Source organism: Homo sapiens, chromosome 2 (assembly GCF_000001405.40).
Source record: "Homo sapiens chromosome 2, GRCh38.p14 Primary Assembly".
Lineage (NCBI taxonomy): Eukaryota > Metazoa > Chordata > Mammalia > Primates > Hominidae > Homo > Homo sapiens.
This window is the reverse complement of record NC_000002.12, coordinates 102,053,276-102,079,574: the sequence shown is the minus strand read 5'-3', so window position 1 is coordinate 102,079,574 and position 26,299 is coordinate 102,053,276. Positions and strand designations below refer to the sequence as shown.

At 43.9% G+C, this 26,299-nt stretch overlaps 1 protein-coding gene across 3 annotated transcripts in view, besides 1 other annotated feature; it reads right to left on the bottom strand.

Annotated features, from left to right (window-relative positions):
• The window catches only part of IL1R1 (interleukin 1 receptor type 1), a 109,485-nt gene extending 100,300 nt beyond the window's left edge, over positions 1-9,185 (bottom strand). For all 3 annotated transcript variants that reach the window (XM_011511115.3, NM_001320978.2, NM_001288706.2), the window contains exon 1: positions 9,042-9,185. The gene's annotated coding sequence lies outside the window, so the exon portion shown is untranslated. The remainder of the gene's footprint in view (positions 1-9,041) is intronic.
• Positions 21,220-21,802: an enhancer, noted in NCBI's record as "NANOG-H3K4me1 hESC enhancer chr2:102674234-102674816 (GRCh37/hg19 assembly coordinates)". NCBI's record gives its function as "activates a minimal SCP1, AML or CMV promoter by ChIP-STARR-seq in naive H9 embryonic stem cells {active_cell/tissue: H9 hESC(naive)}" and the evidence as "EXISTENCE:reporter gene assay evidence [ECO:0000049][PMID:30033119]".

Sequence of the window (26,299 nt, the reverse complement as noted above, 5' to 3'; positions counted from 1 at the left end):
ATATTTTATACTTTTAGTGTACAAGTCTTATACTTCTTTTCTTAAGTTTATGCTATTTTATTCTTTTTGAAGCTATTGTAAGTAGAATTGTTTTCTTAATTTCATTTTCAAATTTTTCATTGCTAATATATAAAAATACAATTAATTTTCATATATTGATTTTGTATCTTGCAAACTTACTGAGCTTGTTTAGTAGTCTAATAGTTTTTAGTGGATTCCTTAGAATGTTCTATATACAAGACCAGGTCATTTGAGAATAGAGCTGGTTTTTTCCAATATGAATTTTATTTCTTCTTGCCAAATTTCCCTAGCTAGCATTCTTAGTACAATGTTGAATAGAAGTGGTAGGATTAAACATCCTTCTCTTCTTCCTGATCACAGAGGGAAAGCTACTGGTCTTTGATCATTAAGTATAATGTTAGCTGTGGGGTTTTTTGGATGCCCATTATCAGGTTAAGAAAGTCCTCTTCTATTACTACTCTGCTGATTTTTGTTGGTTTGTTGTTGTTGTTGTTGTTGTTTTTAATCTTGAAAGGGTGTCAGATTTTATCAGACATTTTGTCTGCATCTATTGAGATGATTATGCAATTCCATCCTTTATTCTATTAATATGTTGCATTACATTGATTGATTTTTGGATGTTGAAATAATGTTGCATTCTTAGGATAAATCCCACTTGGTCATGGCATATGATTCTTTTATAGCTGCTCTATTTCATGTCCAGTGTTTTGCTGAGGATTTGTATGTCTGTATTCATCAGGGATATTGGTCTTTATTTTACTTTTCATATGATGTTTTCATCTGGTGTTGGTACCGGGGTAATACTGACTTTCTAGGATGAATTCGCAAGTGTCCCTTCCTTTTCAACTTTTTGAAATAGTTTTCTGAAGGATTGCTGCTCATCTCTTTTAAATGTTTGGTGGAATTCACCAGTGAAACCATCTGGGCATGGGCTTTTTTCCTTTTTTTTTTCTTGTGTGTGTGTGTGTGTGTGTGTGTGTGTGTGTGTGTGAAGTTTTTTGACTGCTAATTCAGTGTCTTTATTTATTATAGTCCCATTCAGATTATCTATTTCTTCTTGATCCAGTTTCAGTTGTGTCTTTCTAGGAATTTGTGCCTTTCAACTAGGCTTTTTAATTAGTTGGCATATAATTTTTTCGTAGTATTCCCTTATAATCCCTCTTATTTCTGTAAGGTCCCCTCTTTAATTCCTGATTTTAGTTATTTGAGTCATCTTTCAATTTTTGATCAGTCCAGTGAATGCTTTGCCAGTTTTGTTTATCTTTTCAGAGAAGATAACCTACATTTGGTTTGTTGATTTTCTCTATTTTTTTCTATTCCCCATTTTATCTATTTCTACTCTGATCTTAATTATGAACTTCCTTCTGATATTTGGCATTTAGTATTCTCTTCTTTTTTAGTTTATTAGAGTGGAATGATAAGTCATTTAAGATCCTTTTTTGTAATATACTCATTTATTTCTTTAATTTTTTCTCTATGTATAGCTTTAGCTGCATCCCATAAGCTTGGTGTATTGTGCTTTCATTTTCTTTAATCTTACAGTATTTTTAATTTCTCTTTTAATTTCTTCTTTGACCCATTTGATATTTAAGAGTATATTGTTTAATTTTCACATATTTGTGACTTTCCTAAATTTTCTTCTTTTATTGATTTCTAATTTCATTTCGTTGTGATCAGAGAATATACTTTGTATGATTTCTCTCTTTTTTTAGTGTACTAAGCATTGTTTTATGTCTTCACATATGGTCAACCCTGGAAAATAGTCCACATGCAGTGGATAAAAATGTGTATTTCACTGTTCTTGTGTGGAGTGTTCTGTATATGTTAGGTCTAACCTGAATGTCAAACTCACAATGCCTACGATCCAATAAAAAATTACCATGCATGCAAAGAAGCAGGAAAATATAACCAACAGGAGGAGAAAAATGAATCAATCAAAACTGATGCAGAACTAACACAGAGCAAGAATTAACAAGCAAGGACATGAAAACATTTATTATGACTATTCTATAAGGCCAAGATGCTAGAGGAAAGATCAAGCATGTTGAACAGAGACACAAAAGAGATTTTTTTAAGGTAAAATAACTAATTGAGATAAAATCAGCTGTATCTTAGATTTGAGAAAACACATTAGATTGTATTATGGCAAATTCACATTACAAAAGAAAAGATTAGTAAACTTCGGCCGGGTGCCACGGCTCACACCTATAATCCCAGCACTTTGGGAGGCCAAGGTGGGTGGATCACCTGAGGTCAGGAGTTCAAGACCAGCCTGGCCAAAATGGCAAAACCCCATCATCTCTAAAAATACAAAAATTAGACCAGCATGGTGGCAGGCACCTGTAATCCCAGCTACTCAGGAGGCTGAGATGTGAGAATTGCTTGAATCCAGGAGGTGGAGGTTGCAGTGAGCTGAAATTGCACCACTATACTCCAGCCTGGGCAACAGAGCAAGACTCTCTCTCAAAAAAAATAAAATAAAAAGAAAGAAAGAAAAACAAAAATTAGTAAATTTCAAGACATGGCAATAGAAACTACCCAAAATTAAGCGGTGAGAAAAGAAGATTGAAAAAATGAGCAGAGCATTAATGAATTGTAGAACAATGTAAAATATCCAAATATATGTGTAATGGAAGTCCCTCAAGGGGGGATTATGAGAGAGGAATTAATAGAAAAAAAATTTGAATAAATAATGGCTACAAACCCCCCAAATACAGTAACTGTAAACCCACAGATCCAAGAAGGGCAACAAGCCCTAATACAAAAAATATGAAGACAACTACACTAAGGTACATCATAATCAAATGCTTACAATACCTGCTAAAGAGAAAATCTTAAAAGCTGCCAAAGAAGAGCAAAAAAAAGAAAAAAGAATGACAGCAGATTTCTCATTAGAAACAATGCAAGCCAAAAGACCCTAGATCAATATCTTTAAAGGGCTAAAAGAAATAATTCTAGACCTATAAAAATTTATGCAGCAAAAATGTCTTTCAGAAATGAAGATAAAATGAAGTCATTTTCAGACATCTATAAACTGAAATAATTTGTTACCAGCAGACCTGCACTATAAGAAATGTTGAAGGAAGCCCTCCAGATAAAAAGAAAATTATACCAAATGGAAACATGAGGTGGGTGGATCACGAGGTCAGGAGATTGAGACCATCCTGGCTAACACGGTGAAACCCCGTCTCTACTAAAAATACAAAATATTAACCAGGCATGGTGGCAGGCGCCTGTAGTCCCAGCTACTTGGGAGGCTGAGGCAGGAGAATGGTGTGAACCTGGGAGGCGGAGCTTGCAGTGAGCCGAGATCACACCACTGCATTCCAGCCTAGGCGACAGAGTGAGATTCCATCTCAAAAAAAAAAAAAAAGAATACGAAGCAATAGAAATGGTAACTACATGGGTACATAAGTAAGATATTTTTATTAATTAAAACATTTCAAAACATAACTGAAGCAAAATTAAAAATGTATTGTGGGTCTCATAACATATGTAGAAGGAAAATGTGCAGCAATAATAACACAAAGACCAGGAAGGGAGAAATGAAAGCGTTATAAAGTTCTTATATCATACCTGAAGCAGTACAATATCACTTGAAATTAGTCTGTAATAAGTTTCAGGTGTGCACTGTTGATCCCTCCCTGGCACAGATAAGTTGGGAAGCTCTATGATACACTGCCAATAGATTGATCATCTTAAAGCCAATTGTGCCACCCATTTGCTGCTAGAAATTTAAATGGCTCCTCATAGCCACTCCCAGTGAAATCTTCTGTCTTTAACCTGTATTTTCGTTCTTATCTGCCAAGATATGCTTTACATTCCCTGGGAAGAAATTAACTTCTGTCATCTAGGCTTCCTCGACATTTCTAGGAAGTGCAGTAGGCAATCAGGTATGTGTGGGGTGGGTGTGTACCAAAAACTTGCAAACCAGTTGCATGCAATATATGCAATGGGGTTCTGAGATCAAGAACTCAAAATATGTGTATTTGTATGAAGAATTCTAAAAGTAGAAATCTAATCTCCTTGGAAAGAGGTGAATTTTTTTTTCAAATAACTGGTAATCACCTCTTTAACATTTAAATTTTATTTCTCTTTTAACTGTGTTCTTTTAGCATGTGTTATAATTTTGTGCATCACCATAGCTCCCCGCCAGCTCACAAGCTCCTAATGGCAGGATCCCCAGATTTCCTCAGTGCCCACTATGTCTACACAGAGCCAGTGTCACAACATGCTCATCATACATATGTGTTGAATGGAAACATTTTCCTGTGCAAACTGATTAACAGAGAAACTTAGTAAAGAAGTGTTGGTCTGGATTGGATGAGATCAGAGAGTTGAAGGTACAGTGTCTGGGAGGGTGTTTAGAAGCCATCTATTCAAACTCCCACTACCAATAACTTGTTTTACTTGCCAATCCCATGGATGTCACATAACTGATTAAAGTTAACACAAGGTAATCCAGGTGTCACCACTGACTTTGCCAAGGTCCAACTCAAAAAACAAGAGAAAAATGTATAAAGAATACGCATAACACACGTTTATATGTAAACACACATATATATACATATAGAATGAAAATATATATTCAATGAGTTAGATAATTAATGAGTTAAATATATATATATTTAATAAAATGTCATTGTTTTTCTGATAATAAAAATGATGCACTGAAAAACTTCATGAAATGCAGAAATGTTTAGTAAAGAAGAAAATAAAAATCACCAAATCCTCCATCTGGAGCAGACCATGTTTTAAATGACAGCAAAATCCCTTCCTGTATTGTTTTACTTTTCTAAAAGCCATTGTGAAAATTCCTTCTACCTCTTCACTTAGCAGAAGGTCAATGAGAAAATGGGTGCTCCTGACTGGACAATGTGGTGGATTTAAACGGCCTGCAAATTCTTTGTCACTTTCGCCTTTGAAAGAGGAAGTTTGTTTTCCTCCCAGCTTGAATTTGGTGCTTCTGCTTTACCCATAGAGGGCAGAGGAAGGGATGTTAGGCTAGCTCTGGGGCAGCATCTCACAAAGGTTGAACAGCTTCCATGTCTGCACTTTTAGGAGCCCCAAACTACCATGTAAGGAATAGGCCACCCGGCTGGAGAGAATGCAGAAAGACCATATGGAGAGGCCCAGAGATGACATGGGCAGATAGGCCCAGTCATCACAGCTTGCCATCTGAGCCCAGCCTCCCCACTGTCTCACCAAAGCACCAGACGTGTGAAAGCACCATATGGAACCTCACCAGCCCAAAGAAGCATCCACAGGACTGCAGCCCCAGACCACGTCATGTGGAGCAGAACTGCCCACAGAACCACGAGAAAAGAGAAGATGGTTGTTGTTTTCTGGACTGGGGGTAGGGGAAGAGGTAGTTACACAGCAATAGATTACTAAAACAGCTAGCAAAATTCTTAATATTTGAACTTCTTTGAGAGTTACCAAAACTAAACCCAAGGAGTAAATCCTAAATTATATTGCAAACCTAGAGACCACGTGCTGCTCATCACTCACAAGATGAAAAGAACATGGGACTTGAAGTGGCACTACTGGGGCAGAGCTCCTTGGGACTGAGCTACTGAGACGTTCGATTGGAATAAGTCCCTCGACCTGTTTGCTCCTCCATCCTCTCATCATAAAAGAGGGGCATTGTTGACGTCCATTTTAGGGGGTTTTAAGAAAGGGTCAATGAAACTCTATAAAGGGAGATTTTTTTTTAATTGCATAAGGTAGGGTTGCTTTTTGCCTCTTCTCTTCTTTGAGCTTAGAGATTTGTTGACCGTAAATGGTGCTGTCAAATGAGTATGGTATGGTCTCCTACCTTGGAAAGGCAAGAGGAATTCAGACATATGTTTAAGAGTCAATATTTTATCTATTTGGCATCCAAGAAAGAGCCCTGAGTATCTCTCAGGTACTCAGAGGTTTAAGCAATTTCACTGAGATTCTGTGAAAATGCAGAGTAAGGGGTGACTAAGGCAGTGGAAGAGGCACATGGACTTCTGAGAAGCCACCAGTGCTTCCCTGTCAATCATCATCAGTCTCCTCTACACTGGAGGTTGAGGGAAGGGAGGGAAGGAACTCATCACTGAGATTTTTCAGAGGCAAATGATTAAATCTTTGTTCCTATTCCATTTTGCAGGGGCCATGGCCTCTCTTTCCACCCCAGCTTTTCTTCACAGTCAGCACTTTGCCTAGTGGACTTTTTGGTGCCAGATGAGTTTGTTTGTTTATTTGTTCACCTATTATCCATCTCCCCCAGTAGAATTTAGGCTACATGAGAATAAGAACCTTGTCTATGATGTTCACCGTATTGTATCCGTGGTCCCCAGAATGATGCCCTGAACCCTCATGAAATAGCTGTGGAATGAATAAATGCTGACACTTTTTTTCTCACATGCTTTGGCCCCAGACCTACTGCATCCAAAGTGGAGCCTTGGGAATCCGCCTTTTACTGAGTTTTGCGAATAGTTGATCCCCCAGTACATAATGCCTGGATTAAATGAAAACATTTAAGAAAAATGAGGACAGGGAAAAGGCATCATGGTATTCCAGACCCAAAGAGAAAGGGAGTTTCTATACCCACAGCCCCAGGAGCTGTTTACATTTGACTCAGCTCAAGCTCAGAACTGGCCGGGAAGGGCCTTCAGTCAGTGGGCTGTGAACACATCTTCCCAAGACAGGAAGGACTTAGCATGACATTAAACTCGGAAATGGTAAAGGAAAATTTCTCATAGTTTCACCTACAAAAAAGCGAAAACTTTTGCATAGAAAAGACAACTTGGAAAAAAAAACTAAGTTTGGCAAATCAATGAAAACTTAGGGAAAAATATTTGCAACATGTATTACCAATCAAGGTTTAATGTTTATAATAAATAAACAATTCTCACAAATCCAAGAGAGAATACTGCAAAAGACATGAATAAACAGTCCACAGAAGAAAAAAGAAAGAAGCAAAAAGCAATAAGCAAAAAGCAAAAAGCCAATAGACGTGAAAAACATGTTCAAGATTACTAATAACCAAAGAAATGTGAATTAAGATAATAGAAAAATGCCATGTTTTGGTAGAGACTAAACGATTTCTAATATTCCAGTAAGTGAGGTATAAGAAACCAGGTACATCTATTACAAGTGTAAACTATTAAAATCTGTTTTGGAGGATAAAGCGCCAAACTTTTAAAACCTATATTCTATTTGGCTTAGCAATATTATTTCTAGTTTATCCTAAACAGATAATTGCCCAAGTAAACAGTGCTATATGTAAAGTGTACGAATTTTTTTCTTTTTTTTTTTTTTTGGTGACACAGAGTCTTGCTCTGTCACCCAGGCTGGAGTGCAATGGCACAATCTCGGCTCACTGCAACCTCCACCTCCCGGGTTCAAGCAGTTCTCCTGCTTCAGCCTCCCTAGTAGCTAGGATTACAGGCACAGGCCACCATGCCCAGCTAATTTTTTTGTATTTTTACTAGAGACGGGGTTTTGCCGTGTCAGCCAGGGTGGTCTCGAACTCCTGACCTCAGCTGATTCCCCCCACTTCGGCCTCCCAAAGTGCTGGGATTACAGGCATAAGCTACCACACCCGGCCAAGTACAATGATTTTACACATTATTTGCAATTTTGAAAAATATGGACCAATTCTAAGGGCCCATTGTGGAGGATGTATAGTCCAGGTGCTTCCTCGGAAGATGGCCCTTGGCAGCCACTGGTCTAGGAGAGGACACCGGCACCATGGGGTTCAACCAGGGTGGATCTCACACCTCCTTCTTGGCACATTAAGGCATGGCATTTCTCCCTCTTCCCTCACAAGAGGTTGTAAAGCCTGGTGCCACTACAAAAACCATTTTGCCACCATAAAGGGAAAGAATCTTCAAACAAAACCAACACACAGAGGAGGGGACATACAGGGAAATGCCAAATATTATGCTAGTAGTATGGAACCCACTCAGAAGCCACTCTTTCTTTGAACTTCAGTTACATGAGATGGTAAATTTATGTAAGCCAGTTTGGGCCACTTTCTGATACTTTCAGCCAAAAGCCACATGATAAAGCCATCACCAGGGAACTGAATAAATACATTATGACACAATCTTACAATAAAATGCCATGCAAGTGATTTATTCAAGAATAAAATACCATGCAATGGATTTTTCAAGAAAGTATGCCCTATATACAGTGCCACAAATAGATGTCCATTAGAAGTCGTTAAGAGAGAAAAGTGTTAAGGAATGATATGTGTGATATCACCCTATTTAGTTAAAAAGGCAAATTGAGCTACAGATAGAGATATAAATTTGATATAAATTAGAATCAGAAGGGAAGAGGGAGCTTTTATTTCTTCCTTTACATACTTCTGATTTTTTGAGGTTTTAAATAAGTATCCCTTACTTTATATATATAAGTATACAAATATATTTCAGCTTTGGACCTCTGAAGTACTCTTGGTAGCATCATTTTAAAAATCATGATATAACACATAATGATGCCTAGTCTTCAAATATCTTAGTGTTTTTTTTTACATAAGATCAATTTACATAACCTTATCCTTATTTAACTTTTAATCCTTTTTGACAGTTCCATGTCTATCTTGAAAAAGAATGTGTCTTAATCTCTAGAAGTAAAAATAAATAAGAGCTACCTCTTAGATACACACCTTCCCCAAGCCACCCCAACCCTCAAGCCTGAGATTCCCACCTAGAAAATAAAGACAGCCATGGTATATCTTCATGAGTGTCATGAGGGAGGGGTGAACACAGGTGTTCAAAGTTTCCAGCACAGGGCCTGGGACAAAATGACTCTTCAGTGGTAGTTTTTGTTGCTATTCAATGTCCTCAGAGTAAAGGGGCCCCTTCTGGAAATTTATTTTTGCTTGGAGGTTCGGTGAACCTTACCCTGGCTTTCTATCTCTTCAAACACCCTAGAAGCAGAAAGAATTCCATGGGGCCAACTCTGGGCCTTCCCACTCTGAAAACGACACAGTCACAAACTACAGGCCCAAGGAAGCCAGGGCGGGCCCTTTAAAACCTTACCCTCATTGACTCAAGCAGCTTGAGAAGGAGCCTTGGCAGTCCTCTGGCCACTGTAATCATCTTTCACATTAGTCGAGACAAATGCCTTGGAATTTTCCTTAAACTGGGTGTCACCTCCCATTTTTGATATGAAAAGATACAAGTGAAGAGCTGCCAATGGGTGGAGTCTTGGGCCGGGTCCCCGGATACGTCAGGCTACTTTCATTTTCCAGATATGGGAGAAGAGAAAAGTAGGCCAGGCCAGGGCTGCAGTGTCCCCAAGAGGTCAGCAGCTCCAGGCTCTGAGCCTTGCTTCTGGGCTGCCTTCCAGCCCCACTCCATTCCAGTTTGCAGTAATGAATGTTATACACACACTCATACACACACACACACACACACGCACACACACATACACACACACATGCACACTGATTTTTTTTAGGAGCCGTCAATGAAGTTTTAAGTTGTTGACAATTATTGTTGGTCATCAGGCCAGCAATTCTTCTGAGTGAAGTGTTGAACAAGGCTGGGCCTCAGAGCTACACAGATGTATGGCTTCCTGAAAGCCATACATCTGTGTGTGCCTGGGTAACTTGAGAAATAGTACTATGCATGTGATAAGTGTGCCACAAAGACTTAGAAAGATAGAAAACTCCTCACAGATTTTTCACTTAAGGAGGTAATGTCCTCTTGAAAATGTTATTAAGTACAAATTAAACAAATGTTCAAGGTGCACCTACCTGACACACCAGGGGCGCCTGACAAATATTTCTGGAATGACAGAATGATTCTTTGCTCTGTGGTCTGAAGCAAATGACTTGCCTTGGTTGGGTCCCAGTCTCCTTTCTGTGAATAGAGGTAATCACACCTCCTCCATGGGTGGTGAAGGCTGAGGAAAAACGCTTTGTCCAGGAGGGTTGTGCTGCGAATAGGAGAGCAGGTTTGGGGGAGGTGGCTAACCTTGGCACCCACCTGGGCTCGCAGAAGCCAGTGGGAGGTATGAGATAAACTGCCCAGGGACCTCCTCAGCCACCCTTACATCTTATCTGCCCTGTAGCCACGTCCTCCCCTGCAGTCAGGCTGCTTATCAGGGGCTGACACCAGGCGCAGCCAACTTTGTGCTTTGATTCTTGCCAGGTTTCTTCTGTGGAAGGGGTTTCCAGCCCCCGCACCCCCTTAGCCAAAGTTTGCCCTTTAAAGTCAATCTCCGGTCACACATCTCCAGTAAGCCTTCAAACCTCACTCCAGAGCCGACTCTCTCCTCCATCCTCCCCTATGCCTTCTGCCCCCACACTAAGGCAGCAGGTTGCATTCGCCGGGCACTGCCCTGACAGGAGGGCAAGCACAGGATGGAGTCGAGAAACCAGCATAGTCACCAAGCTGATTTTTCAAAATGTGAATCTTAAAAACCTTGACTTTTAAGTCTGCCACTTGAGAGAGAAGAATTTTGGTTTTATTTTTGCTTTTATTTGTTGGAACTCTAGAACATATCCTTATATATCAAGAGCCTGGAGCATAACGTTATGCCATAAACCAGAGAGTTCCTGTTCAAGGGAAGTACACGTTTGAACCAGCACATAACACAATGAACACTGAGGGAAGATGACTAGGGTTGGGGCAGAAATGGAAGTTAGGGAGTAGGGGGCATGAGAAAACGAGGAAATTGTGTTGATTTCCAGGCTCCAGCCAGAGACTGTAAACCTTGGATTGAAGCCCACTCCACGATGGAGCCTGTGGATGGGCAACAAGGGGGTTGGCAGTGGGTAGGGGAGGGAGGGATACCTGGGAAGATGGGCTTGAGGGAAGTCTCAAGGTTCAAATCACCCCAGCAAGCTACAGAAGGGTTTTGGAAAGTTCCTGGGCTATTCCTACAAAGCACGTGCCCCACGGACCCATGCAGGGCCCATGCAGGACACACAGAAATCAACAGCACAAGGTGCAGTGACCAGGTCCATATCACTAAGCAGCTCCAATTGTGGGCAGCAATGAGAGAAGAGAGGAAAAGAAGAAAGGCAAAGAATCTTGAGCTCTTTCAAACCCTTAAGTAACCATATGTAGGACTGAGAGGACCTGAGTGACCCTGAGATGGTGTATTAGTCTGTTCTCACACTGCTCATAAAGACATACCCAAGACTGGGTAATTTATCAAGGAAAGAGGTTTAATGGACTCACAGTTCCACATGGCTGGGGAGGCCTCACAATCATGGCAGAAGGCAAATGAGGAGCAATGTCACATCTTACATGGCTGCCATGGCTTCAGGCAAGAGAGTGTGTGCAGGGGAACTGCCCTTTATAAAACCATCAAATCTCATGAGGCCTATTCACTACCTTGAGAACAGTATCAGGGAGACTGCCCCCATGATTCAGTTATCTCCACCTGGCCTCACCCCTTCACCCCCTTTTTTTTTTTTTTTCTAAGACAGAGTCTCGCTCTGTCACCCAGGCTGGAGTGCAGTGGGCGATCTCAGCTCACTGCAACCTCCGCCTCCCGGGTTCACGCCATTCTCCTGCCTCAGCCTCCCAAATAGCTGGGACTACAGGTGCCTGCCACCACGCCCAGCTAATTTTTTGTATTTTTAGTAGAGACAGGGTTCCACCGTGTTAGCCAGGATGGTCTCGATCTCCTGACCTCGTGATCTGCCCACCTCGGCCTCCCAAAGTGCTGGGATTACAGGCGTGAGCCACCGTGCCCGGCCTGGCCTCACCCTTGACAAGTGGGAATTATTAAAATTCAAGGTGAGAGTTGGGTGGGGACACATTCAAACCATACCAGCTGGAAAAAACTGAATTTTTCCACCATAAGCAGAAGTAGGGATTCATGAGCTAAGTTAAGATCAATTATAGAGAAAGAAAGTCCCATTTTGGTGTAATTATGACTAAATGTCACACTGCTATCTTCATGCTGGCCCCTTACCTTCCCTGGATGACCAGCCATCCTAGTTTGCCCAAGATAGTCCTGGTTTTAGGATTGAATGTCCTGCAGCCCAAGAGATCCCTCAGGCCTGGGCACACTGGGATGGTCAGTCACCCCACCTTCACCTGGCACCAATGCATCATCTGTCCAGGATGTACTGGAGTTTTTTTGTTTTGGTTTGTTTTGAGATGGAGTCTTGCTGTGTTGCCCAGGCTGGAGTCTAGTGGCACGATCTCGGCTCACTACAACCTCTGCCTTCTGGATTCAAGGAATTCTCCTGCCTCAGCCTCCCGAGTAGTTGGGATTATAGGCGCCGCCGCCAGGCCCAGCTCATTTCTCATATTTTTAGTAGAGACAGGGTTTCACCATGTTGGCCAGGCTGGTCTTGAACCCCTGACCTCAGGTGATCCACCCACCTCAGCCTCTGAAAGTGCTGGGATTACAGGCTTGAGCCACCACACCCGGCTGTCCCTGTTTGATTTTAAGTGGAGTGAGGAAAAGGACCATGTGGCGTTCAGACTGTTCATTCAACCAGCAAAAGTGAATGCAGTTTCCCTGCACTGAATTCTGACGGGTGAGACTGACTCTTAAGCAGATAATTAAAATACACTGTGATAAAGGGGAATGTAAATTAACGCAACAAGCGAGTGCTGCACACCTATCAGAACGGCTAAAATTTAGAAGATGGGCAAGAACAAATGTCGGCAAAGATGCGGAGCAACCAGAGCTCTCTGCGCTGCTGGGGAGAATGTGCAATGCTGCAGCCACTCGGGGGGGAATGCTGGCACTTTCATATAAAACTAAATATATGCCTGTCTTTGACTCAGTAGTTCCATTCCTAGGTGTCTACTCAAGAGAATAAAAATATCTGCCCATGAAACAGCTGTACTGCAGAGTAAGTTTAAAAATAATAGCCCAAAATTAGAAAGTGCCCAAGCTGCAGGAGAACTGGTAAACTAACTGTGGCACAGTCACACAATTGAATAGTGCTCATGATCTACTGGCGCACACAACATGGATGAATCCCAAAACATCATTCTGAGTGCAAGAAACTAGACACACACAAGCACGTACTCTATGCTCCATTTATATGAAGCTCCAGGAAAGACCTTCAAATCTATAATGATAGAAATCAAACCAATAATTTTGTAGGACTGGGGTAAGGGGAATTGACCAGGAAGGGGCAGAAGGGAATCTTTTGAGGGGTTAGAAATATCCTATATCTTGCCTGTTGTGGTTATTACACAGGTCTATACATTTTTCAAAATTCGTCAAACTGCACACTTAAAACAGGTGCATTTTCTTGTTTGTGAATTAGAACAAAATAAGTTCATCTTTAAAAATCAGATTGAGAAAATAAAACAAGACCTGAGAAGCACTACAACAAACAAGCGCACAAAGCACCCAAGGGGTGAAGGAAGACTTTGCAGCTGGGCAGGGACTGAAAAGTCAGAAAGGGCTGCACTGGACAGAGAAGAGGACGAAGCACATGGCAGAAGCCAACAGCATGTGCAAAACATGCAAGGAAAAAAGCAGACGGGGCTCCAGGAAAGGCACAAGGTTGGGGGAGGGTGGTGGCCACTGTTTAAAAAAAAAAAATAGAGAGAGTCAATAGAAAGGTAGGTCTCCGCGAGTCCGGGAAATGCCTCTAAGTCCTGCAAAGCACGTTGGACTCTGCCTCTGGGCTCGCATTGCTCAACCACAGTGTGCTGACTCACCGAGAGCAGCTGGGCAGTGTAGCACCAGTGAGGTGCTGCTGGTTAGGACTCCTCCAGGTGCTCCCTGCAGTGCCCCTGCCCCGCACATGCAATCCCCTAGTCCCCTTAAGTGGGGATGAGGGGTCTTGAGCAACCTGGGAAGGGTGCTGCCCTCTGAGTGGGATCTGCCCCATTCCGCAGGGGGACAAAGGCTCAGGGGCCATGCTTGATAACAGGTTGTTAATTTTTTCTCCCACGGAAGACTCTGTCAGGAGGGATCTGTGCTTCAGAAAGATGCCCTGTCTAGGAAGCTGGGAGAGGGTTGGAGCAGGGGAAAGTAGAGGCAGGGAGACCAGTTAGTAGCTGGAACAACAGTCCCCGGGGCTTGATGAAGGGGCTCCAGGCTAAGGCAGTGGACACGGAGGGAAATGCACATTTAACACGCTTCAGAAGGCAGACGCAACAGCACTGAGACGTTGGGAGAAGCTGTGAAGCATTGACATGGTGAGGGCTCAGACCACTCCTCAAACAAGCTGGAGAACAGGGAGGGCGGTGGGAGGGCAGTGGGAGCGGGTGGTATCAAGTCAGCCCCACTATCACAGTGCCCATGTTCATGATCTTCTCTGCCCCATACCAAAGTCACTGCGACTTTCCTCCAGGCCCTCTGCACCACACATTCATGTTACATGAGGCTTCCCAGAAATATACCCTCTTCTTCCCAAGTGCACCCTCTCCCTGATCCCATTACCTCCTCCTCTCCTCAACCATGAAATGAGGGCATGATACCAGGGAAGAGAGGTACCCTAGGGCAGGAGAGCCTCTCACGGCCCCATTATCCCTTCCCCTCCGCTCTCCGTGTCCGTGACTGGCTCAAAATTGCTCTATGCACTCTGGGCTGCATGCACATAGTCTATTGTCTCTTAATAAGTCCAATAAAAAAGGCCCACCCTCATGATGGGCAATCAGCCCTATCAATTAGAAACAAGCCACTCTGTAGGGGGTTAAACTCTATGGCTCTTACTTCAGGGCGGTATGAATAAAACACGGCACATGGAATTCATGTCACCAGACTCCCAGCTCAGAGATTCCTGGAAGCGAGTTCAGAGTCCACACAGCCCCATCACTGTGTTTACACCATTATTAGCCAGGCTTCCTCGTGGGGATGCTAAGAACTGATAGAAAGTTCAGAATATTGACCATGTATGACTTTAATCATACGTTTGCAATAAAATGAAGCTCTTTCCCTGAGAGCAAGGAGGCAGCTAGGCAGTAGCAGAAAGACACAGTTCAAAGTTACCATCTAGAGCAGTCCAACACAAACACAGCCATCTCGGAGCTTTACTGCAGAGCGTTTTTGTTGCGGGAATGGACACTCAAGCCACACATCTGGTAAATGTTTCCTGAAGAAGAGATGGGGTTGAGAAAGAGAAGATAAAAAGCAGGACTGGTTATGCTCAGCCCTAAAGCCCCGGGCAGGCTGCACATGTGTTAGCCAAGAGTGGCATGACTCAGCGATCACCCTGGCTTCTCAGAAAGAAGCTGTTCATCCTCTTGACTCAGCATTCCTCACTGCTGAGCAGCCTCAGCCTGCAGTCGCCCAAGGACCCCAGCCACAGAGCAGGCCAGCACACCGTGTACTCTCAGACCCTGTCCTCAGATGCCCTCCTCCATCAGACTTCAGGCCCTTCCTGGCTGGCAGAGAGGCCACAGCCCTATGAGGGAGGGTCCCCTACTCCAAGTGGGAACAAAGCACTCTTTAAGGAGCATGTCTACAACACAGCGGTGCCCCCACCCTGGCCAGATACCTGTGAGCTGGAGGGGGGCAGCCACTCGCTCTTGGGAGGCCTAACTCTCCCTCTGGGATGTTTTCATTTTCTTCCACCTTTCCCTGAGGCTAAATGAGCCATCAGAGGCAACCAGCAGCCCAGGGACAAACACCACTGCTGGGTGGTGGATAACAGGAACTGGGTCAAGAACTGGGCTGAGAATTAAGAAAATTTCAAATTTCCTCAGCTCACAGTTTTATCTGTTGGAAAATAATAGCGGGGCTTATCTTGTTAGGAAAAGGGAGGGAGAAAACACTCCCTAGATACTCAGGGCCTCTTACTTATCACACAATTCCTTTTAGAAATATGTTGACTGGTTTCCCGGACTGAGGAGCCCTTTGCAAGCCAGAGCGTCTCAGGGCAGCCAAAGTGACAGAATCAGGAAGCAGTCTGCGAGGGCCAAGACCTCAGAGCCAGGGTGGAGCCTCCACTTACTGAGGACCTTGGGCAAATTATTTAGCCTGTGAGTGCCTCAGCTTCCTCATCTGAAAAGAGGAATGATGCATAATGATGGAACCTAATGCACAGGGTCCCTGTGGGGCTCACTCGCTTGCTCATGCACTCATGAGTACCTACTGTGTGCAAGCACAGTTCTAAGGGCTGGCACACCAGTGAGAAAACCACGTGGATTCTGACTCTGGTGGAGAATGAAGGGGGGAAAATAGAGCAGGGGCTCGGTGGGCTGGGGCTGGAACTAGGGGAAGGCAAGCAGGTGCCTAAGGCCCCAAATTTAAGGGGCATGCACCCTATGGGCACCTGCACGGCCCTGAGAACAACACTGTGGCCACCTGGGACCAGGTTGGGGTGAAGGTGAAAGAGTCACAAAAGTGTTTGATCAAAGTGCTCAGTGCAGTCAGTGCCTAGGAGACTGGCCCTTAGTAAATATCAGCTGCTTGTAAGAGCATTAGGAAACGGAGGAGGCAGAAAAGAACTCCAAAAAGAAAATATGAACTCTCAAAGCTTCAGCAGGATGGGGAATTTAGTGTTGGGGCAAACACCTGGACACACCTAGAATCTCTGGTTGCCAACTAGAGCTGCAGCTGAGCTCAGATGAAAACAGAAGCCTCGATGCTGGAGCAGCAGCAGCCCTGGAGATATTGATCTGGCTGGCCTTGGATGGGGCCCTAGCAATCACGTTTAAGACGCTCCTGCCAGGGGATCCTAGGGCACTATGTGCCAAGCCTCATGCCAAGGGCTTTCCATGTATTATCTCATTTCCCCCTCCCCTAATCCCACAGGTTCAGAACTACTCTTTTCCCCATTCACAGATGAAGAGTCAGAAACCTCAAGATCTTATATAAATTTCTTAAGGTCACCACCATCTCATGCTGTCTGTCTGCTGCGGCATACATAATCACTACTGTTTTCAATGGACGTGTTAAGTTACCAAGAAAAGATTAAATGTATGCAATGACCTCTGCTTAAGAATGCGTGGGTGTACTAAGTTTTCAGAAAAGGTTAAATGTGTGCCATGAGCTCTGCTTCAGAGTGCAAGCCATGGTGAAATTGATTCTGCAAAGATTAATGTGCAAAATAGTTCCAAGTTTCTAAAGTTGAGTGTTCTGAGCAGTAAGCTCTGTTTCCTGGAAATTTTACTTTACAGAACATTCTTCAGTGATGCTCAAGAAGTGAGATGTGTCTGTTCTGTAAAGATGAGTCAGGAGTAGTCAAGAAGCAGGAGAATTGTCAACTCTGACACACCAGAAATGACACTCAGCAGGGCTTAGCAACCATGGTCTCTTCTCTGAACCCATGAAGTGAAGTGGAAACTGGAGGGGTGTCAGCCAAGTTACAAAGGAATGGCTGAAGCTGGGAGGCCCCACAGGAAAGAAAACGCTGGAAAAATAGAAGCTTCTGGCCCCAGTGTTCTCACGCATGACCATAATAATTAAAAAGAAGCTTTGGCAGCCACCCCAGAGCAAGCTCATGAGGAGAGATGGGTCACAGAGCTGACCAGCAGTTCTGGAGTGAGGGTGGCCCTGGAGAAGCTGAAGTCCCAGGGGACGCCTGCATCTGCATGGCAGGAACCAAGTCTGTCAGTGATTCTCCTCTCCCTCGAAACCATCACTGCAAGATCCCGCTCTGCCATTTACTAGCTGTGTGACTTTAGGCAAGTTACTCAACCTTTCTGAGCCTCAATAAATGGTAGCTAATATTATTGTTTATTGTTATTAAAAGCAGTTAAATCTTTATAGGGTCATGTAACGCACAGCCATAATCAGGTAGCACTGGGAGAGGCAAACATTTCTAAAATAGTAAATATTTTAGACACTGTAGGCCAAGAAGCATATTTCATATGTTATATATACATAAAATATATATGATATATGTGTGTGTATTTATATAATGTAGATACTTCTATAACAAGAGAGAAACCTCTGCATGCCTGGCCCTATCTGCCTGGGGTGGGCTTCCTGTGGGCAGGCACAGTGTGCCCTGAACCCACTGGAGACGGTCCTGGGAAGAAGGGCAGCCTGATGGAGGGAGGGGCCTGGCAAGCCAGCTCAGTGGGCTTAGGGAGTTGAAGGGGACTTGGCCACCACGGTCATTTTCTCTCTTTGCCCCAGGGACAACCAAACCAGCTCCTCCTGGAGATCCCGGCCCCCTCCCTCTGGACAGCTGAACGGAAGTGAAGCTAACACGTCACCAATTCCCAGACTTAGATTCTGCAGCCTGGCGCCCCGCATTGCAACAGCAGAGCCCCCATGCTGTAGGAGTGACCAGCATGGGCCCTGTGTGGCAGGAAGGTGAGTCCTCTGGCAGGGGAGGCAGGTGCTGGAAGCCAAGTAGGGGACAGGGACAGATGGAACCACCTCAGCTTGGGTCCTGCAGCTCACAGCGCTTGCAGAGTGTCCCTGAGCCATACAGAAGTAGGTGACCACCCACAGTTTGTCAGTGGGTCATAGTTTGCTGACCTTAGATGTAGCAAAAGAGACCTAAATGTGACCCCAGTGTGGTTGCAGGGAGTAACCAGTGAGCACACCCGTGCCAGCGTTCTCCAGAGCACAACCCATTAAGGGATCACAAAAGCACGTCAGTGGCTCACCACCAGCATCTTTTTAATGAAACAAAGAGAATGGATTCTCTCCAGGTTTTTTATGGCATTCATATGGATAAGCATATATGCTCTGGGCACCATGCCAAATGTACTTCTTACTGAGGACTGGGTGCTAGGCACAGTTTTTGGCTTCTGTATCCCTCAAAAGAGGTGTTTTCATCTATTTTTCAAACATTCGTGGGGCATCTGCCTTGAAAGTTTAAGAATAAGCTCCTTGAGGAACAGGGTCAAGTCCCAGCTTTCCATTAACTCTGAAACCTACCACCTTGGCACATGGGCAGGAAGTGAAGGGAAGACAAGGGAGTTTGCTGGCTTCTGAGACAAATGTATATTCCTGGGAGGACCCTGGAGAAGTGAAGATCTTTGGTAGTACCTCTGGATGCATCTCACACTTATCATCCCACCAGAAGATCTTAGAGGCCTCCAGTCTGGAGGTTTCCAGACTGTGCTCTGAGGAGGCCCAGGGTTCCGCAATGTGCTTCAGGGGTGCCCAGGGAAAGAGGTTCTTGCTTTCCTCTTCTAACTTCAACTGGAGCAGCTTTGCACTTTTTTATGTATGTTTTAAGGTGACATGTAAATTTCTTCTGTCCAAAGGGCTCCAATTCCAGAGCATTGAACAATCAAAAGGCCTGAAAACTATCTATTTTATTCAACTAATTTAAACCTAGGAAAACCTCAAATACCCAAGAAAAGTCAGCAGTGGATAGGGAGACTGGCCCTCAGACCTCTGCTCCCCACCCTGTTCAGCAGTCCTTTCACCACACTCCGCTGCAGCCCTGCTGAGTCCAATTCTGCTCTGGGAGCAATTCCCAGTGGACACGTGGCAGTCCAACAAGACAGTGTTATAACAGCAGGCTCCAAATCAAAGGAAAAGCAGAAGACAACACACACTGTTTTAAATATCATAGAGAGACCATCCCTGAAGTTGTTTATCGTGATTCAGACATGGACAAGCTTTGGGATCTTGGACAAGTCACTTCACATCTCTGGACTTTGTTTCTGCAGTCCTCTCTGGCCCTCCGTTCTGAGTCCCCATGGATAGAACTGATCATCACTAGAGAGAAAGGAGAGCCACAGACCTAATCTCCCAGGTGTCAGTTATTAACTCCACCAGTATAACATGCCCTCTGAGGAGTGGTGGCAGTGGCCATCTGCAGTCCACCTCCGCAGCAAGATGAAGCCTCCTGGAGAAGCCATGGAGGTGGAGAGAGATTCAGGCTCCTAACTCGGCCCAGCCCTGCACAAACACAGGGAAACTGCACCTGGGATTGAAAGCATTAATTTAGAATTTCGTTGTCCTGGGCATTCCAGCAACTCTGTGATTCTCTATTAGAGTTGAAGACACTGAGGCTCTGAGAGGTCACATAATTGTCCAAAGGGTGTAAGGGTACGATGAGAGGGGACAGAGAGAGAGAGAGATAGAGACAGCATGCACTTGAGGTTTGAGACCCTCGAGGTGGAAGGACATGTCAGCTTTAACTTGTTGACTGTCTTCTGTGACAAGAACTTTACATACTTTATCTCATTAAATCCTCACAATAGCCATGCAATGTAGGTGTCAAAAACCCATATTACAAAAGAGTAAAATGAAGTTGAGACAGGTCAGAGTGATTCCAGGCACACAGCTGTTGGATGACAGCACTGGTCTTCTCACTTGCTTTTTCTGATTCCCAAATCTTTGATCTTCCCACTCTCTTGGGATGCCTCAAGGCTGTGTGGACACACGGCCAGAACATTCCTCCACTCAATGTTGTGTAACCACAGGACAAAGAAGAAGACAGTGGCCTTCAACACTTGATGTGAAAATGTGGCATGAGAAGAGCCAGTGATCAATCCAATCTTGATCAGAATGTCATTACCTCTGGTGAGAAAGCCACTGTCTGAGCACCTCTGGTCACCTTATCCTGTGCCTTGTCATCAGGTACACGATATGTGGGAGAGTCTGGAATCCTCATAAGGAAAGGACGGAGGCAGGGCTGTGATAGAAAGCCCGTCTCCTTCCCTAGCTCTTTGCCTCAATTAGCTTAAGATACAAATAGCCCCACATAGTCTCACAAAGTCTTTCTACGAGTTGCCAAGTTGCGTTGTTTCCCACGGAACTGTAACATTTTATGAATACAGTTATTTATGAGTGGTTCCACCCTAGTGGGAAAAAGATAGGTTACAGAGTGAAAAGTCTCTTTACCTCTCAACCTTTGATGCTTCATTGTCAAAATGAGGTAACAACCATAACCTCCGCACAGGATGGGCATGAGGATGCAATGAAGTGATGTGTCTGGATCGTAGAGGTCCCTATACAAACATGATTTCGTTTTATGACTGCAGGCAGCTCCAGTTATCCAATTAATCTGACGGGGGCTTCCCTCCTTGCCTGATGGAGTGGTGAGGACAAGGGTCCCTCTAATCCCATAGGTATTCTCTCATGTATCCTTGCAGCAGTCCCATTTACATACTAACCCCATTTACAGACAGGGAACTGAAAGTTTGTGAAGTCAATTAAATGTAGGGCAAGTGGACTCTGCGCTGTCAGGAAAAGCTCCCAATCTTGAAATTACAGCTAGAAGAACCCTGAGAGAGGGGATGCACACACTGCCACCTTGGCAGGCCTGGAACACGCTCCCGGTGCCCCACTTGGGCCAGTGGGGTGCACTGAGGGTCCCCAGCCTGACATCCAGCCAGTATTTAACTCCAAGGAGAGGGAAGCCACAGGGAAGGATGGGGCCAAGAAAGAAGACACGGGACCTGTTGTAGAAAACCCCACAGACTCAGAATGAAATTTTGGCTTTGGTTATTTTCTGGTGATCCTCACGCAGAAGGAATTGGGAAGCTGCTGCTAGCTGGAAGCTGGGGACCCCCACATCACAGTTCTTAACTCACCTGATTTATAAACAGGCGTTCACATGTACACAAAGCCAAAAGCGGCCTCCCACAAATCTTCCAGTAATTGCTCTGTGACCCACAGGGAGGGAAGGCAACAAAGCAAACTTCAAAGGGCCTTTGAAAAATAACACTGACCACACGCATTTGAAAAGAGGTCAGTGTGGATTTGACAAAAGGCCAAAGGACATTTGAAAACACAGAGAGTGACTATTTGTTCCAAAACACACAGGGGAGTGTGCCCCGAGGGTCTGTGCGGGTTCTTGAGGTCTGTCTAGGAGAACTGTAGGATCCTTGTGCTCAGGTGAGTTTCAATGTTAGGATGTGCGATGCAGAGTTCTGTTGATTACGGAGGGCCCAGTTTCCTAAGGAGGATGTGAAAATTAATTTGAAACTGAAGCTGTGCGCAAAGGTGTCTGAGGTTGTTACAGTCAGAGTTGCCAGCATTCTAGCTGGGATCCCATTAGCATGTGACATCAGACAAGTAATCCAGGCAGCACGCCAGCCTCTCTACGTACAGACGGGAGCCCCTTCACCTCTCAAAGTCAGATGACACATGTGGGATCATTTCAAGCCTTTCAATACTTTCGATGTCATATTATTCATTTTCCCCTGATAGCTTTTTTTCCTTGTCTTTAAGAAAAGTCTCATGAAAAGGGGAATTTAAATTCACACGAAAGGAGGGGGCTCTTGGTCAGCTCCTCCTGAGAAACAGATGACTTGTTTCAGTTCTCAAGGGGCTTTCCTATTGCGGGAGGTATCCCCAGTGATTCCACTCCTTCATTTCTGAAAAGGGAAAAAAAAAAAAAAAAAAACACCACAGACTTGGCATTGGACATAGACTCGTCAGAAATGGCATGGCTTTGAGCGTCAGTCAACACGAATGGTGGCTGCCTTTCATTTGGAGGCGCCAGCCCCTGATTTCAACCAATGCAAGACTCTGCAAAGGCTTTGAGTTTTTATCAAGAATACATATCAAGCTTTTCACATTAACCTGACTTTCTACTTTGGGCTCTGGATGAAATAGCCAGGGACTTAAAAACTCAGGAAGAGACGGAGCTCTCTCTCTATCCCAAAAAGAGAAGGGAAGAGGAGCCATACCCCTCCAAGAATCCCAGCTAGAGTGGCCGGCCTTGGGTTTGGAAGCCTGCGTCTTACTTAACATTGTAGATGTCTCTACCTGTCTTTGCCATGCAACACTGCACTCCCAGAAAAATCAAGCACACGACGGAAGGCAATCACCTGATCATCAATTTACCTACATGACAGCGTTAAGAAATAAACCAGAAGAATATTTTTCTTACTATTTGTAGAAATGAGGAGACATTGATGCAAAGGCAGACTGACACTATTTGAGTTGTAGAATGGTTAGGGACGTGAGGACGTGTCTCTCAGGCCTCATCAAGCAGATTATTTAGTTTATTTATTTATTTATTTATTTATTATTTTATTTTATTTTATTTTGTTTTGTTTTATTTGAGACAGAGTCTAGCTCTGTCGCCCAGGCTGGAGGGCAGTGGCACAATCTCGGCTAACTGCAACCTCCACCTCTCAGGTTCAAGCAATTCTCACGCCTCTGCCTTCCAAGTAACTGGGACTTCAGGCGCCCACCACCACACCCAGCTAATTTTTGTATTTTTAGTAGAGGCGGGGTTTCATCATGTTGGCCAGGCTGGTCTCATCAGATAGATGACATCATCCTCATGGACACAGTGACAGGCCCAGGGAGGAGCACGGGACACAAGCTGAACAAGTCAGACTGTTCCCTGGGCTCTTTCAGCCAGAAATGTCAGGGGAGGTGATCTTTCCTCATGTGGGCTGCTGTGCAAATATAAGGTATGCCTTGAGCTACCAATGGCTAATATGCCTGTCCAAGAAACACTGAGATAAAACACCCTAATGGCCCTTGGATCTAGCCATGCCTGAAGCTGTTATCATCTGTTTCTGAGTCTTACTCAAGCATTTTATGAGCCAATAGGTTCTTTCTTTCCTCTCTCTCTCCCTCTCTTATGCTACTTTGAGATAAGCTGTCACTTGCAAATAAAAAAAAATTTACTAATATAAGTGCTTAGTCATAAATAAGTGGGATTATGTGTAAAAAGTTTTACATTTTTATTCGTCTATATATTTTGACCATGATTCAGAAAAAAGGTCCTAAGTGAAAACCATATACATTAGAAATCTTGAAATATGACTTTAATAAATATGTTGAGAGAAGTTGCCTGCTCATTAGGTATTAATTTGAAGTTAATCTTTGGCCAAACACAGTCAAAATGGGGCTTTCCACTCTGGAATGGGTAATAGGATTTTGCTGTTTTGAATGTTATCCAAAGGAAACACTCCCAAAGAAGAGAACGCTCAGTGGACTCACTCAGCCCTTCAATTGCAGAAGAGAAAAATGTTTACTTCTGTGGTATTACAAAGCTATAAAAGCACTTCCAGGAAACTGAAGTCCAATGTTTTCTGGAGAATCTAATTACTGCTCCGCCCTCACTAAGATGTTTTGTTAATAACGAGCTCAGAAACCATGGCTCCATGTTCTATCCTGCTGTTGCTGGTGGACCAGGATTCTCATGCATCCTCAGTCCACTACGGAGCATGTTAGAAGTTATCATAATCAAAGGCTATTGCTCAAACACTATGCGCCAAACCCTGTCATTGGCACTGTCCTTACTACAATCTTGGGAGGTTGATACTCTGATAGAAATCCCAAGACAGTCAATGCCCAAGATCATAAAGCTATTCAATGATGGAGCTGGAATTAGAGGTCCTAGTGCTGTGTTCCCAGGCCATCTCACTGTGGGTCTCACTTGGAAATGGTGAAGAAAAGCCCAGGCAGCAAAGGTGTTAGCCCTTGAATCATTGCCATTCTCACCTCTGCACTATCAGCCACATGAATGTCCTTCACTAAGATTCTATCACATAGTTATTGTAAGTCACAGAATGCTGGCTTTGTAAGGAAAATGTGTGTCACCTAGGGACACCTTTATTTTACAGAAGGGGAAAAATAAGGCCCTGAGAGTATATTAAACTATTAAATCAGGACTGACCAGTAGAAATTATGGGAGGTAGATCCCAAGGCTAGATCATAAAAGGTATTGCAGCTTCCATCATGAACTTTGTGATCACACACTCTGGAGAAAGCCAGCTGCCATGTCAGGAAGACACAATCAAGCTGCCCTGTGGAGAGTCCATGTGGCCAGGAACTGAGCTCCCCTGCCAATAGCTAAATCAATGGCACCAATTTTCCAGTTGTAAGCCATCTTGGAAACCGATCACCCAGACCTAGTTGAGCCTTCAGATGACAGTAGCCCTGGCTGACGTCTTATCTGCAACCTCATGAAAGACCTGAGCTACAACCACTCAGCCATGCCACTCCTAAACAGCTGGCCTTCAGAAACTGGGGCGAATATATGATTATCATTGTTCAGGCAACTGAGTCTTCAAGAAATTTTGTTAAATAGCAATAGATAACTAACGTGATGTCTATTTTAGCTGTTTAAGAGGTAATTCCAAATTCTTAACTCCATTCTGAATGGTTGAAAGTAGCAAATAAATGACTTCCGTGTGAGCAGACGGTCAGTTACTAACATTACAGAATTGACTAATTTAAAATTTAAAGTGAACAAAAAGAAGAAAAGAAAAGATGCTAAGACACCATGGAATTCAGGAAGGTTTAAGCACCCCAACTTATCAGCCACAAGTCAAAGACCTGGGTTCTAGGTTTGGTTCAGGTACTGGTTTTGCAACACTGGACATTTGCTACTTTAAGTTCCCTGTCTCAATTTCCCATCTGTGAACTAAACGTAATACTGTAGCATTTGCCTTTGCTGTCTTAGAGATGGTATTAAAATGATTTAATCAGACCAAAGATGTGAAGGCCCTAGGAATACACATTCTGATGACAAAGCAGACTTCTCCACTTTTGAGAGTTTGAAAAAACTTTTGATTTTTTTTACCCTGCATACATCCACTACCCCAACACTCCTCGTAATTAGAAAATATAGGAGACAAGTTTTTAAAACATAATAAAATATATGCGCATATGTACACACATATATGTATACATACACACACATACAAATAACAGTAATTAACTAGAATTCTGAGAATTTTTGTTTTACTTAGACCTATAGATGTGTAAAATTTGATGAATGAATGATTGCTTTGAAGGGAAAGGACCGTACCCCAGCTAGAATAGCTTGGACTAAAGCCAAGGCGGTGTGAATAACATATCTAGAGGGGACATGTTCAGAAGATGAACTGGAGAAATCAAGCGGTCCCAGAACACAGGTCACCCACCTCTATGTGGAAGAACCAGCTGTGAGTTCTAGCTTATTCCAGCTTACTCCTAGCACTTCCTGGGCTTAAAACACAACCACACATGGAGACTCACATGGCACCTGCTGAGAGAGCTCAAAGTTACTTAATGTACCCCTAAGAATGTTAATCTGAATTCCTACCTATTTGTGTCCAGGGAATGTGTCCAGGGGATCCCCTCACCCCAAAACCTAAGGACCCCCTTCCCAGCTCATCCAGGCTGCTGCAAGCCTGAGCAGTAACACAGTGACCCAACTAGGGAGAACTAGGACCAAGCACCTGGAGTGACAGGTCCCCACCCCAGTTCCACGCCTCACTTTTCTCACTCCGGATTTCTAAGCCGGTCCAAAACTACACCCTCTCCACAAAGAGGAGGGAGGGGGCACAGTTATTCTGCGAACCCAGCTCCTACCTAGACATTCACTTCGGGTAGTTTGGGGAAGTCAGCTTGAAACAAAAGCAGCACTTTCTCTGGATCCCAAGAGCAAGCCAGCGATTTCCTCCTCCCTTCATGGCATCCTCTGGCAACCTTCTTCCACTATTTCCTTTTGCTCAATTTTCAGCTAAACTTTCAAAACACTTTCCTA